This window comes from Homo sapiens, chromosome Y, assembly GCF_000001405.40.
Source record: "Homo sapiens chromosome Y, GRCh38.p14 Primary Assembly".
Classification (NCBI taxonomy): Eukaryota; Metazoa; Chordata; class Mammalia; order Primates; family Hominidae; genus Homo; species Homo sapiens.
Genome location: NC_000024.10, coordinates 10,219,637 through 10,233,917, shown reverse-complemented (window position 1 = coordinate 10,233,917; position 14,281 = coordinate 10,219,637). Strand labels below are relative to the sequence as shown.

The following is a 14,281-nucleotide window of genomic DNA, read 5'->3' as shown; positions in this document are numbered from 1 at the left end:
TGTGGAAAAAGAAATATCTTCACATAAAAACTACACAGAAGCATTTTGAGAAACTTCTTTGTGATGTGTGCCTTCATCTCACAGAGGTGAACCTTTGTTTTGATTGAGCAGTTTTGAAACACTCTTTTTACAGAATCTGCAAGTGGATATTTGGAATGCTTAGAGAACTACGGTGGAAAAGAAAGTATCTTCACATAAAAACTACACAGAAGCATACTGAGAAACTACTTTTTGATGTGTGCATTCATATCACAGAGTTTAACCTTTCTTTTGACAGAGCAGTTTTGAAACTCTCTTTTTTTAAAATCTGCAAGTGGATATTTAGAGCCCTTTGTGGCCTATGGTGGAAAAGGAAATATCTTCACATAAAAACTACACAGAAGCACTCTGAGAAATTTCTTCATGATGTCTTCATTCATCTCACAGAGTTGAACCATTCTTTTGATTGAGCAGGTTTGAAACTCTCTTTTTGTAGAATCTTCAAGTGGATATTTGGAGTGCCTTGAGGCCTATGGTGGAAAAGGAAATATCTTCACTAAAAACTACACAAAACTTTCTCAGAACCTTCTTGGTGATGTGTGCATTCAACTCACAGAGTTTTACCTATCTTTTGATAGAGCAGCTTTGAAACTCTCTTCCTGTGGAATCTGCAAGTGGATATTTGGAGTCCTTTGTGGCCTACGGTGGAAAAGGAAATATCTTCACATGAAAACTACAAAGAGCATTCTGAGAAACTTCTTTGTGATGTGTGCATTCATCTCACAGAGTTGAACCTTTCTTTTGATTGAGGAGTTTTGAGACACTCTTTTTGTAAGATCTGCAAGTGGATATTTGGAGCGCTTTGAGAACTATGGTGGAAAAGGAAATATCTTCACATAAAAACCACAAAGAAGCAATCAGAGAAACTTCTTGGTGATGTATCCATTTAACTCACAGGGTTGAACATATCTTTGGTAGAGCTGTTTTGAAACTCTCTTTTGTAGAATCTGCAAGTGGATATTTGGAGCCATTAGTGGTCTATGGTGGAAAAGGAACTATCTGCAAAAAATAAAAATAAAAACTACAAAGAAGCATTTTGAGAAACTTCTTTGTGATGTGTGCATTCAACTGGCAGAGTTGAACCTATCTTTTGACACAGCACTTTTGAAACTCTCTTTTTGTAGATTTGGCAGGTGAATATTTGGAGCCCTGTGTGGCCTATGGTGGAAAAGAAAATATCTTCACCTAAACACTTCACAGAAGTATTCTAAGAAACTTCTTTGTGATGTGTGCATTCATCTCACAGATTTGGAACTTTCATTTGAATGAGCAGTTTTGAAACACTCTTTTTGTAGAATCTTCAAGTGGATATTTGGAGGGCTTCAAGGCCTAATGTTGAAAAGGAAATATCTTCACACTAAATCTACACAGAAACATTCTGAGAATCTTCTTTGTGATGTGTGCATTCATCTCATAGAATTGAACCTGTCTTTTGATTTAGCAGTTTTGAAACACTTTTTGTAGAATCTCTAAGTGGATATTTGGAGCACTTTGAGGGCTATGGTGGAGAAGGAAATATCTTCACATAAAAACTACACAGAAGCCTTCTCAGGAACTTCTTTGTGATGTGTGCATTCCACCCACAGAGTTGAGCTTATCTTCCGTTAGAGCAGTTTTGAAACTCTGTTTTTAGAATCTGCAAGTGGATATTTGGAGCCATTTGCAGCCAATGGTGGAAAAGGAAATATCTTCACATAATAACTACACAGAAGCATTCTGAGAAACGTCTTTGTGATGTGTGCATTCATCTCACAGAGTTGAACCTTCTTTTGATTGAGCAATTTTGAAACACTCTTTTTGGAGAATCTGCAAGTGGATATTTGGAGAGCTTTGAGGTCTTTGGTGGAAAAGGGAATGTCTTTACATAAAAACTAAACAGAAGCATTCTGAGAAACTTCTTTGTGATGTGTGTATGCAACTCGAACGATTGAACCTCTCTTTTGATAGAGCAGTTTTGAATCTTTTTTTTTTTGTAGAATCTGCATGTGGATATTTTGAACTGTTTGTGGCCAATTGTGGAAAAGGATATATCTTTCCATAAAAACTACACAGAAGCATTCTGGGAAACTTCTCTGTGATGTGTGCATTCATCTTACAGAATTGAAACTTTTCTTTCATTGAGCAGTTTGGAAACACTCTTTTTGTAGAATCTGCAAGTGGATATTTGGAGCCCTTTGAGGCCTATTGTGGAAAAGGAAATATCTTCACATAAAAACTACACAGAAGCATTCTCAGAAACTACTTGGTGATGAATAAATTCATCACACAGAATTGAATCTTTCTTTTGATTGAGCAGTTTGGAAACACTCTTTTTGTAGAATCTGCAAGTGGACATTTGGAGCCCTTTGAGGCCTATCATGGACAAGGAAATATCTTCACATTAAAACTACACAGAGGCACTCTCAAAAACTTCTTTGTGATGTGTGCATTCATCTCACAGAGTTGAACGTTTCTTTTGATTGAGCAGTTTTGAAACACTCTTTTTGTAGAATCTGCAAGTGTATACTTGGCGAGCTTTGTGGCCTGTGGCGGAAAATGAAATGTCTTCAAATAAAAACTAGACAGAAGGATTCTGAGAAACTTCTTTGTGATGTGTGCATTCATCACACAAAGGTGAAACTTTCCTTTAATTGAGCAGTTTACAAACACTACTTGTCTGGAGTCTGCTAGTGGATATTTGGAGCGATTTGCAGCCTATGGTGTAAAAGAAAATATCTTCACATAAAAAGTAGACAGAAGCATTCTGAGAAACTTCTTTGTGATGTGTGCATTCATCTCACAGTGTTGAAACTTTCTTTTGATTGAGCAGTTTGGAAACCCTCTTTTGGAGAATCTGTAAGTGGATATTTGGAGGGGTTTGAGGCCTATGGTGGAAAAGGAAATATCTTCACATAAAAACCAAACGAAAGCATGCAGAGACAATTCTTTGTGATGTGTGCATTCATCTCAAAGAGTTGAACATTTCTTTTGATTGAGCTGTTTTGAAACACTGTTTTTGTATAGTCTGCAATTGGATATTTGGCACAATTTGCAGCCGATAGTGTAAAGGGCAATACCTTCCTATAAAAACTAGACAGAAACGTTCCGGGAAACTTCTTTGTCATGTGTGCATTCATCACACAGAGTTGAACCTTTCTTTTTATTGAGCAGTTTGGAAACACTCTTTTTGTAGAATCTGTAAGTGGATATTTGGAGCACTTTGAGGCCTATGGTGGAAAAGAAAATATCTTCACATAAAAACTAGACAGAAGCATTATCAGAAACTTCTTTGTGATGTGTGCATTCATCTCACAGAGTTGAATCTTTCTTTTGATTGAGCAGTTTTGAAACACTCTCTTTGTAGAATCTGCCAGTAGACATTTGGGATGCCTTGCGGCCTATGGTAAAAAAGGAAATATCTTCACACAACAACAGAAGCATTCTGAGAAACTTCTTTGTGATGTATACATTCATCTCACAGAGTTAAACTTTTCTTTTGATTGAGCAGTTTTGTAACACTCTTTTGGTAGAATTTGCAAGTAGATATTTGGAGCATTTTGAGTCCCATGGAGGAAAAGGTAATATCTTCACATAAAAACTAGACAGAAACATTTTGAGAAAATTCATGATGTATGCATTCTTCTCATACATGAGTTGAACTTTCTTTTGATTAAGGAGTTTTGAAACACTCTTTGTATAGAATCTTCCTGTGGATATTTGGAGAACTTTGGGTCCTATGTTGGACAAAGAAATATCTTCATATAAAAACTACACAGAAGCATTCTGAGAAACTTCTTTATGATGTGTGCATTAAAGTCACAGAGTTGAACCTTTCTTTTGATTAATTAGTTTGGAAACACTCTTTTAGTGGAATATGTAAATGGGTATTTGGAGCGCTCTGTGGCTTATGGTGGAAAAGGAAATATCTTCACATAAAAACTTGACAAATGCATTCTGAGAAACCTCTTTCTGATGCGTGCATTCACCTCACAGAGTTCTACCTTTCTTTTGATTGAGCACTTTTGAAAAACTCTTTTGTGAAATCTGCAAGTGTGTATTTGGAGTACTTTGTGGTCTATGGTGGAAAAGGAACTATCTTCACTTAAAAACTAGGCAGAAGCATTCTGAGAAACCTCTTTGTGATGTGTGCATTCATCTCACAGAGTTGAACCTTTCTTTTAATTGAACAGTTTTGAGACACTCTTATTGTGGAATCTACAAGTGGATATATGGAGTGCTTTGAGGCTTAATGTGGAAAAGAATTATCTTCACGTGGAAAAGAATTATCTTCACATAAAAACTTCACAGAAGATTTCTGAGAAACTTCTCTGTGATGTGTGCATTCATCTCGCAGAGTTGAACCTTTCTTTTCATTGAGCAGTTCTGAAACACTGTATTTGTAGAATCTGGAAGTGGAGATTTAGAGTTCTTTGAGTCCTGTGGTGGAAAAGGAAATATCTTCACATAAAAATTAGAAGCATTCTGAGATACATCTTTGTGATGTGTGCATTCATCTCACAGAGTTGAACCTTTCTTTCAGTTGGACAGTTTTGAAACATTCTTTTTGTGGAATCTACAAGTGGATATATGGAGCGCTTTGAGGCTTATGGTGGAAAAGAATTATCTACACATAAAAAATTCACAGAAGAATTCTGAGAAACTTCTCTGTGATGTGTGCATTCATCTCACAGAGTTGAACATTTCTTTTTATTGAGCAGTTTTGAAACACACTTTTTGTGGAATCTGCAAGTGGATATTTGGAGCACTTTGTGGCCTAAGGTGGAAAAGGAAATATCTTCACATAAAAACTAGACAGAAGCATTCTGAGAAACTTCTTTTTTATGTGTGCATTCATCTCACCGAGTTGAAAATTTCTTTGATTCAGCATTTTTGAAACAGTCTTTATGTAGTTTGCAAGTGGATGTTTGGAGCACTTTGCCATCTATTGTGGAAACGGAAATATCTTCACATAGAAACTAGACAGAAGCATTCTGAGAAACTTGTTTCTCATGTGTGCATTCATCTCACAGAGTTGAATCTTTCTTTTGATTGAGCACATTGAGGCCTATGGTCGAAAAGGAAATATCTTAACATGAAAGCTAGACAGAAGCATTCTGAGAAACTACTTTGTTATGTGTGCATTCATCTCAAAGTGTTGAATCTTTCTTTTGATTGAGCAGTTTTGAAATACTCCTTTTGTCGAATGTGCAAGTGGATATTTGGAGCACTTTGCAGACTATTGTGGAAAAGGAAATATTTTCAAATAAAAACAAGACAGAAGCATTCTGAGGATCTTGTTTGTTATGTCTGCATTCAACTCACAGAGATGAAACTTTCTTTTGATTGAGCTGTTTTGAAACACTTTTTTTTTTTGTAGAATCTACAAGTGGATATTTGGAGTGCTATGTGGCCTAGGTGAAAAAGGAAATATCTTCACATAAAAACTTGACAGAAGCATTCTGAGAAACTTCTTTTTGACGTGTGCGTTAATCTCACTGAGTTGAACATTTCTTTTGATTCACCATTTTTGAAACACTCTTTTTGTAGAATCTGCAAGTGGATGTTTGGAGCACTTTGGCATCAATGGTGGAAACGGAAATATCTTCACACAGAAACTAGACAGATGCATTCTGAGAAACTTCTTTCTCATGTGTGCATTCGTCTCATAGAGTTGAACGTTTCTTTTGATTGAGCGCATTGAGGCCTATGGTGGAAAAGGAAGCATCTTCACATAAAAACTTGACAGAAGCATTCTGAGAAACTTCTTTTTGATGTGGGCCTTCATCTCACCGAGTTGAACTCTTCTTTTGATTGAGCAGTTTTGAAACCGTCCTTTTGTAGAATCTGCAAGTGTATTTTTGGAGCACCTTGTTGCCTATGGTGGAAAAGGAAATATCTTCACATAAAAACTAAACAGCAGCATTCTGAGAATCTTCTTTGTGATGTCTGCATTCATCTCATAGACTTGAACCTTTTTTTTTAATTGAGTAGTGTTGAAACACTCTTTTTGTACAGTCTGCAAGTGGATATTTTGTGTGATTTGTGGCCTTTACTGGAAAAGGAAATATCTTCACATAAAAACTAGATAGAAGCATTCTGAGAAACTTCTTTGGGATGTGTTCCTTCATCTCACAGAGTTGAACCTTTCTTTTAATTAAGCAGTTTTGAAACACTCTTTTTGTAGAATCTGCAGGTGGATATTTGGACTGCTTTGAGGCCTATGGTGGAAAAGGAAATATCTTCAAATAAAAATTAGACAGAAGCATCCTGAGAAATTTCTTTTTGAAGTGTGCGTTCTTTCCACGGAGTTGAACCTTTCTATTGATTGAGCAGTTTTGAAGCACTCTTTTTGTAGAATCTGTAAGTGGATATTTGGAGCACTTTGAGGCCTATGTTGGAAAAGGAAATATCTTCTCATAAAAATTAGACTGAAGGATTCTGAGAAACTTCTTTGTGATGTGTGCACTCATCTCACAGAGTTGAACGTTTCTTTTGATTGAGAAGTTTTGAAACACTCTTTTTGTAGAATCTGCATGTGGATGTTTGGAACACTTTGGGGCCCATGGTGGAAAAGGAAATATCTTCACATAAAAACTATACAGAAGCAATCTGAGATACGTCTTTGTGATGTCTGCATTCAACTCACAGAGTTGAACCTTTCCTTTGATTTATCAGTTTTGAAACACTCTTTTTGTAGTACCTTCAATTGGATATTTGGAGCGGATTGAGGCTTACGGTGGAAAAGGACATATCTTCACATACATACTAGCCCGAAGCATTGAGAAACTTATTTGTGATGAGTGTATTCAACTCACAGAGTTGAAACTTTCTTTTGATTGAGCAGTTTTGAAACACTCTTTTTGTCATATCTGCAGGTGGATATTTTTGAGAGCTTTGAGGCCTGTGGCAGAAAAGGAAATATCTTCACATAAAAATTAGACAGAAGTATTCTGAGAAACTTCTTTTTGATCTGTGCATTTATCTCACAGAGTTGAAACTTTCTTTTGATTGGGCAGTTTGGAATCAGTCTTTTTGTAGAATCTGCAAGTGGATATTTGGAGTGCTTTGAGACCTACAGTGAAAAGGAAATATCTTCACATAAAAAATAGACAGAAGCAATCTGAGAAACTTCCTTGTTATGTGTGCCTTCATTTCACAGACTTGAACCTTTGTATTGATTGGGCAGTTTGGAAACAGTCGTTTTGTAGACTCTGTAGAGGGATATTTGTCACACCATTGAGGCCTCTGGAGAAATAGGAAATATCTTCAGATAAGAACTAGACAGAAACATTCTGAGAAACTTCCTTCTGATGTGTGCATTCATCTCACAGAGTTGAACATTTCTTTTGATTGAGCAGTTTGGAAAGAGTCTTTCTGTAATATCTGCAAATGGATATTTGGAGTGCTTTGAGGCATATGTTGAAAAAGGAAATATATTCACATAAAAACTTGACAGAAGTATTCTGAGGAACTTCTTTTTTATGTGTGCATTCATTTCACAGAGTTGAACCTTCCTTTTGATTGAGCAGTTTTGAAACACTCTTCTTGTAGTATCTGCAAGTGGATATTTGTACTGTTTTGGGACCTGTAGAGGAAAAGGATATATCTTCACATAAAACCTAGAAAGAAGCATTCTGAGAAACTTCTCTGTGATTTTTGCATTCATCTCACAGAGTTGAACATTTCTTTTGATTGAGCAGTTTGGAAACCCTCTTTTTATGGAATCTGCACGTGTATATTTGGAGCCATTTGTGGCCTATAGTGGAAAAGGAAATAACTTCACATTAAAACTAGACAGAAGCATTCTTAGTAACTTCTTGTGATTTGCGCATTCATCTCACAGAGTTGAATCTTTCTTTTGATTGAGAAGTTTGGAAACAGTCCTTCTGTAGAATCCACAAGTGTATATTTCGAGTGCTTTGCAGACTACAGTGGAAAGGGAAACATCCTCACATTAAAACTAGACAGAAGCATTCTGAGAAACTTGTTTATGATGTGTGCATTCATATCACAGAGGTAAACCTTTCTTTCGATTAAGCAGTTTGGAAACCTGTCGTTTTGTACAATCTGCAAAGGGATATTTGTGAACCCATTGAGGCCTCTGGGGCAATAGGAAATATCTTCACATAAAAACTAGACAGAAACTTTCTGAGAAACTTCTTTGTGATGTGTGCATTCATCTTACAGAGTTGAACCTTTCTTTAGATTGAACAGTTTTGAATCAGTCGTTTTCTAGAATCTGCAAAGGGATATTTTAGAGCCCTTTGTGCCCTCTAGGGCAACTGAAAATAATTTCACATAAAAACTAGACAGAAACTTTTAGAGAAATTTCTTTGTGATGTGTGCCTTCTTCTTACAGAGCTGAAACTTACTTTTCACTGAGCAGTTTGGAAACAGTCTTTTTGTAGAATCCACAAATGGATATTTGGAGTGCTTTGCGGCCTCTGGTGGAAGAGGAAATATCTTCACAAAAAAACTAGAGAGAAACATTCTGAGAAACTTCTTCGAGATGTGTGCATTCAACTCACAGATTTGAAGCAATCTTCTGATTAAGCAGTTTTGAAACTTTCTTTTTGTAGCATCTACAAATGTATATTTGGAGTGCTTAGAGGCCAATATTGGAAAAGGAAATATCTTCACATAAAAACTAGACAGAAGCATTCTGAGTAGCTTCTTTGTGATGTGTGCATTCATCTGGGAGAGTTGAACCACTCTTTTGATTGAGCAGTTTGGAAACAGTCTTTCTGTAGTATCTGCATGTGGATATTTGGAGCGCTTTGTGGCCAATGCTGGAAAAGAAAATATCCTCACACAAAAACCAGACAGAAGCATTCCAAGAAACTTCTTTGTGATGTGTGCATTCATGTCACTGAGTTGAACATTTTCTTTTCATTGAACAGTTTTGAAACACTCTTCGTAGAACCTTCAAGTGTATATTTGGAGAGCTTTGCTGCCTAAAGTGGAAAAGGTAATATCTTCACATAAAACCTAGACAGAAGCATTCTGAGAAACTTCTTTGTGATGCAGGCATTCAACTCACAGAGTTAAACCTTTCTTTGGATTGAGCAGTTTTGAAACACACTTTTTGTAGAATCTTCAATGGATATTTGGAGTGCTTTGTGGCTTCAGGTGGAAAAGGAAATATCTTCACTTAGAAACTATACGGAACCATTCTGAGAAAATTATTTGTGATGTGTGCATTCAACTCACAGAGTTGAACATTTCTATTAATTGGGCAGTTTGAAAACAGACTTTTTGTAGCATCTGCAACTGGATACTTGGAGCACTTTGAGGCCTATGGTGGAAAAGGAAATATCTTCACCTAAAAACTACAGAGAAGCATTCTGAGAAACTTCTTTGTGATGTGTGCATTGAACTGTCAGAGTTGAACCTTTCTTTTGATTCAGCAGTTTTGAAACACTCTTTTTGTAGACTCTGCAAGTGGATATTTGGAGCGATTAGCAGCCTACAATGGAAAAGGAAATATCTTCACATAAAAACTAGACAGAAGCATTCTGAGAAACTTCTTTGTGATGTGTGCATTCAACTCACAGAGTTGAACAATTGCTTTGTCTGAGCAGTTTGGAAATAGTCTTTTTGTAGTATCTGTAAATCGATATTTGGAGCGCTTTAAGGCCTATGGTGGAAAAGGAAGTATCTTTACATAAAAATTAGAAGCATTCTGAGAAACTTCTTTGGGATGTGTGCATTTACCTCACAGATTTGAACATTTCTTTTGATTGAGCAGTTTTGAAACACTCTTTTTGTAGTATCTGCAAGTGGATATTTGGAGTGCTTGGCAGCCTCTAGTGGAAAAGAAAATATCTTCACATAGAAAGTAGACAGAAGCATTCTCAGGAACTTCTTTGTGATGTGGGCATTCACCTCACCGAGTTGAACCTTTCTTTTGATTGAGCAGTTTGGAAACACACTTTTTGTAGAATCTGCAAGTGGATATTTGGTGTGCTTTGGGGCCTATGGTGGAAAAGGGAATATCTTCACATAAAAACTAGACAGAAGCAATCTGAGAAACGTCTTTGTGCTGTGTGCATTCAACTCACAAAGTTGAACCTTTCTTTTCTTTGAGCAGTGTTGAAACACTCTTTTTATAGAATCTGAAATTGGATATTTGGAGAGCTTTGTGGACTCTAGTGGAAAAGTAAATATCTTCACATAAAATCTCGACAGAAGCATTCTGAGAAACTGCTTTGTGATGTGTGCATTCATCTCACCGAGTTCAAACTTTCTTTTGATTGACCAGTTTTGAAATACTCTTTTTGTAGAATCTGTAAGTGGATATTTGTTGTGATTCGAAGCCTTTGTTGGAAAAGGAATTATCTTCATGTAAAAACTAGACAGAAGCATTTTGAGAAACCTCTTAGTGATGTGTGTATTCATCTCAGAGAGTTGAACCACACTTTTGATTGAGCAGTTTGGAAACTGTCTTTTTATAGTATCTGTATGTGGATATTTGGAGTCCTTTGATGCCTATGGTGGAAAAGGAAATAACATAAAAATTAGGAGCATTCTGAGAAACTTCTTTGTGTTGTTTGAATTCATCTCACAGATTTGAACCTTTTCTTTGATTGAGCAGTTTTGAAACACTCTTTTTGTAGAATCTACAAGTGGATGTTTGGAACGCTGTGAGGCCTATGGTGGAAAAGGACATATCTTCACATAAGAACTGTAAAGCATTTTCCCTAAAAACAGCCTTGTGGTGTGTGTATTCATCTCACAGAGGTAAGCATTTATTTTCTCTGTTCAGTCTGGAAACTCTGTTCTTGTACAATCTGAAAAGGGTTATTTTTCAGCACTTTGAGGCTTATGTTGACAAAGGAAATATCTTCACATACAAAGTGTAAATAAATTTTCTGAGATACTTCTTTGTGATATGTGCATTCATCTGACATAGTTGAACCTCCTTTGATTCAGCAGTTTTGGAAACAGTATATTTGCAGAATCTGCAAATGGATATTTGTGAGCACTTTGAGGCCTATGTAGAAAAAGAAGTATCTTTACAGAAAACTATAAAGAAGGTTTCTCAGAAACTGTTTTGTGATGTCTGCTCTCATCTTACAGAGGTAATCAATGATTTTCTTTGATCAGTTGGGAAACTCTGTTGTATTAGATTCTGCTAAGGGACATTTATGAGTGTATAGAGCCCTGTGGTGAAAAAGGAATTGTCTTCGCATAAAAACTAGATAGAACCCTACTGAGAAACTTCTTGGTGATGTGTGCATTCATCTCACAGAACTGAAACTTTATTTTGATTGAGCAGTTTAGAAACATCTTTTTGTGGAATCTGTAAAGGGATATTTCTGAGCACTTTGAGGCCTATGGTGAAAGAGAAAATATCTTCACATAAAAACTAGACTAAAGAATTCTGAGCAACTGCTTTGTGAGGTATGCATTCATCCCACAGAGTTCAACAATTCTTTTGATTCAGCAGTTGGGAAACCGTCTTTTTGTGGATTCTGCAAAGGTATATTTGCGAGCATTTTGAGGTCTATGGTTAAAGGAAACATCTTCACATAAAAAGTATAAAGGTTTGCGAGAAACTTCTTTTTGATGTGTGCATTCGTGTCACAGAGTTGAACCATTCTTTGACTCAACAGTTTGGAAACAGTTTTTTTTTTAGGATCTGCAAAGGGATATTTTTGAGCACTTTGAGGCCCATGGTGAAAAGGGAAACTCATTCACATAAAAACAATATAGAAGCTTTCTGAGAAACATCTTTTTATATATGCATTCATCCCACAGAGGTGAAACTTTCTTTTGATGAGCAGTTTGTGAACAGTATTTTGTAGAATGTCCAACTGGTTATTAGCGCTTTGTGTCCTATGTTGAAAAAGGAATTATCTTTACATAAATACTAGACAGAATATTTCTGATAAACTGTTTTGTGATGTGTGCCTTCATCTCACAGAAGTAACCGTTTCTCCTCATTTAGCAGATTGGAAATTCTGTTCTTGAAAATCTGCAAAGGGATATTTGTCAGTGCTTTGAGGCATATGGTGAAAAAGGAATTATCTTCACATAAAAACTAGACAGAAGTTTTCTGTGAAACATCTTGGAGATGTGAGAATTCCTCTCACAGAGTTAAAACATTCTTCTCTTCTTTTTTTTTTTAGATTTATTATTTTTTTAAATTATACTTTAAGTTTTAGGGTACATGTGCACATTGTGCAGGTTAGTTACATATGTATACATGTGCCATGCTGGTGCGCTGCACCCACTAACGTGTCATCTAGCATTAGGTAATATCTCCGAATGCTATCCCTCCCCCCTCTCCCGACCCCACCACAGTCCCCAGAGTGTGATATTCCCCTTCCTGTGTCCATGTGATCTCATTGTTCAATTCCCACCTATGAGTGAGAATATGCGGTGTTTGGTTTTTTGTTCTTGCGATAGTTTACTGAGAATGATGGTTTCCAATTTCATCCATGTCCCTACAAAAGACATGAACTCATTATTTTTTATGGCTGCATAGTATTCCATGGTGTATATGTGCTACATTTTCTTAATCCAGTCTATCATTGTTGGACATTTGGGTTGGTTCCAAGTCTTTGCTATTGTGAATAATGCCGCAATAAACGTACGTGTGCATGTGTCTTTATAGCAGCATGATTTATAGTCATTTGGGTATATACCCAGTAATGGGATGGCTGGGTCAAATGGTATTTCTAGTTCTGGATCCCTGAGGAATTGCCACACCAACTTCCACAATGGTTGAACTAGTTTACAGTCCCACCAACAGTGTAAAAGTGTTCCTATTTCTCCACATCCTCTCCAGCACCTGTTGTTTCCTGACTTTTTAATGATTGCCATTCTAACTGGTGTGAGATGGTATCTCATAGTGGTTTTGATTTGCATTTCTCTGATGGCCAGTGATGATGAGCATTTTTTCATGTGTTTTTTGGCTGCATAAATGTCTTCTTTTGAGAAGTGTCTGATCATGTCCTTCGCCCACTTTTGGATGGGGTTGTTTGTTTTTTTCTTGTAAATTTCTTTGAGTTCATTGTAGATTCTGGATATTAGCCCTTTGTCAGATGAGTAGGTTGCGAAAATTTTCTCCCATGTTGTAGGTTGCCTGTTCACTCTGATGGTAGTTTCTTTTGCTGTGCAGAAGCTCTTTAGTTTAATTAGATCCCATTTGTCAATTTTGGCTTTTGTTGCCATTGCTTTTGGTGTTTTAGACATGAAGTCCTTGCCCACGCCTATGTCCTGAATGGTAATGCCTAGGTTTTCTTCTAGGGTTTTTATGGTTTTAGGTCTAACGTTTAAATCTTTAATCCATCTTGAATTGATTTTTGTATAAGGTGTAAGGAAGGGATCCAGTTTCAGCTTTCTACATATGGCTAGCCGGTTTTCCCAGCACCATTTATTAAATAGGGAATCCTTTCCCCATTGCTTGTTTTTTTCAGGTTTGTCAAAGATCAGATAGTTGTAGATATGTGGCATTATTTCTGAGGGCTCTGTTCTGTTCCATTGATCTATATCTCTGTTTTGGTACCAGTACCGTGCTGTTTTGGTTACTGTAGCCTTGTAGTATAGTTTGAAGTCAGGTAGTGTGATGCCTCCAGCTTTGTTCTTTTGGCTTAGGATTGACTTGGCGATGCGGGCTCTTTTTTGGTTCCATATGAACTTTAAAGTAGGACCTCTTCAAGGAGAATTACAAACCACTGCTCAAGGAAATAAAAGAGGACACAAACAAATGGAAGAACATTCCATGCTCATGGGTAGGAAGAATCAATATCGTGAAAATGGCCATACTGCCCAAGATAATTTACAGATTCAATAAAACATTCTTCTCATTGAGCAGTTTGTAAACAGTATTTTTTTAGAATCTGCAAAGGGATACGTGTGATGCTTTGAAGCCTATGGTAAAAAAGGCAATATTTTCACAAGAAAACTAGAAAGAAGCTTTCTGAGAAACCTCCTTGTGATGTGTGCATTCATCTCACAGATTTGAACCTTTCTATGGATTGAGAAATTTGGATACAGTATTTTTGTAGAATCTGTGAAGACATATTTTTGAGAGCTATGAGGCCTATGATGAAATAGGAAATATCTTTACATAAAAACTAGACAGAAGCTTTCCGAGAAACTTCTTTGTGATGTGTGCATTCATCTCATAGAGTTCAACCATTCTTTTGATTGAACACTTTGGAAACGGTCTTTTTTAGAATCTACAAAGGGATATTTATGAGTGCTTTGAGGCCAATGGTGAAAAAGGAAATATATTCACATAAAAAATATAAAA

The 14,281-nt window shown here is 36.5% G+C and overlaps 3 annotated features.

Annotated features, from left to right (window-relative positions):
- Nucleotides 384–885: an enhancer, noted in NCBI's record as "NANOG hESC enhancer chrY:10070642-10071143 (GRCh37/hg19 assembly coordinates)". NCBI's record gives its function as "activates a minimal SCP1, AML or CMV promoter by ChIP-STARR-seq in primed H9 embryonic stem cells {active_cell/tissue: H9 hESC(primed)}" and the evidence as "EXISTENCE:reporter gene assay evidence [ECO:0000049][PMID:30033119]".
- Nucleotides 2,572–3,552: an enhancer, noted in NCBI's record as "OCT4-NANOG hESC enhancer chrY:10067975-10068955 (GRCh37/hg19 assembly coordinates)". NCBI's record gives its function as "activates a minimal SCP1, AML or CMV promoter by ChIP-STARR-seq in primed H9 embryonic stem cells {active_cell/tissue: H9 hESC(primed)}" and the evidence as "EXISTENCE:reporter gene assay evidence [ECO:0000049][PMID:30033119]".
- Nucleotides 4,502–5,003: an enhancer, noted in NCBI's record as "NANOG hESC enhancer chrY:10066524-10067025 (GRCh37/hg19 assembly coordinates)". NCBI's record gives its function as "activates a minimal SCP1, AML or CMV promoter by ChIP-STARR-seq in primed H9 embryonic stem cells {active_cell/tissue: H9 hESC(primed)}" and the evidence as "EXISTENCE:reporter gene assay evidence [ECO:0000049][PMID:30033119]".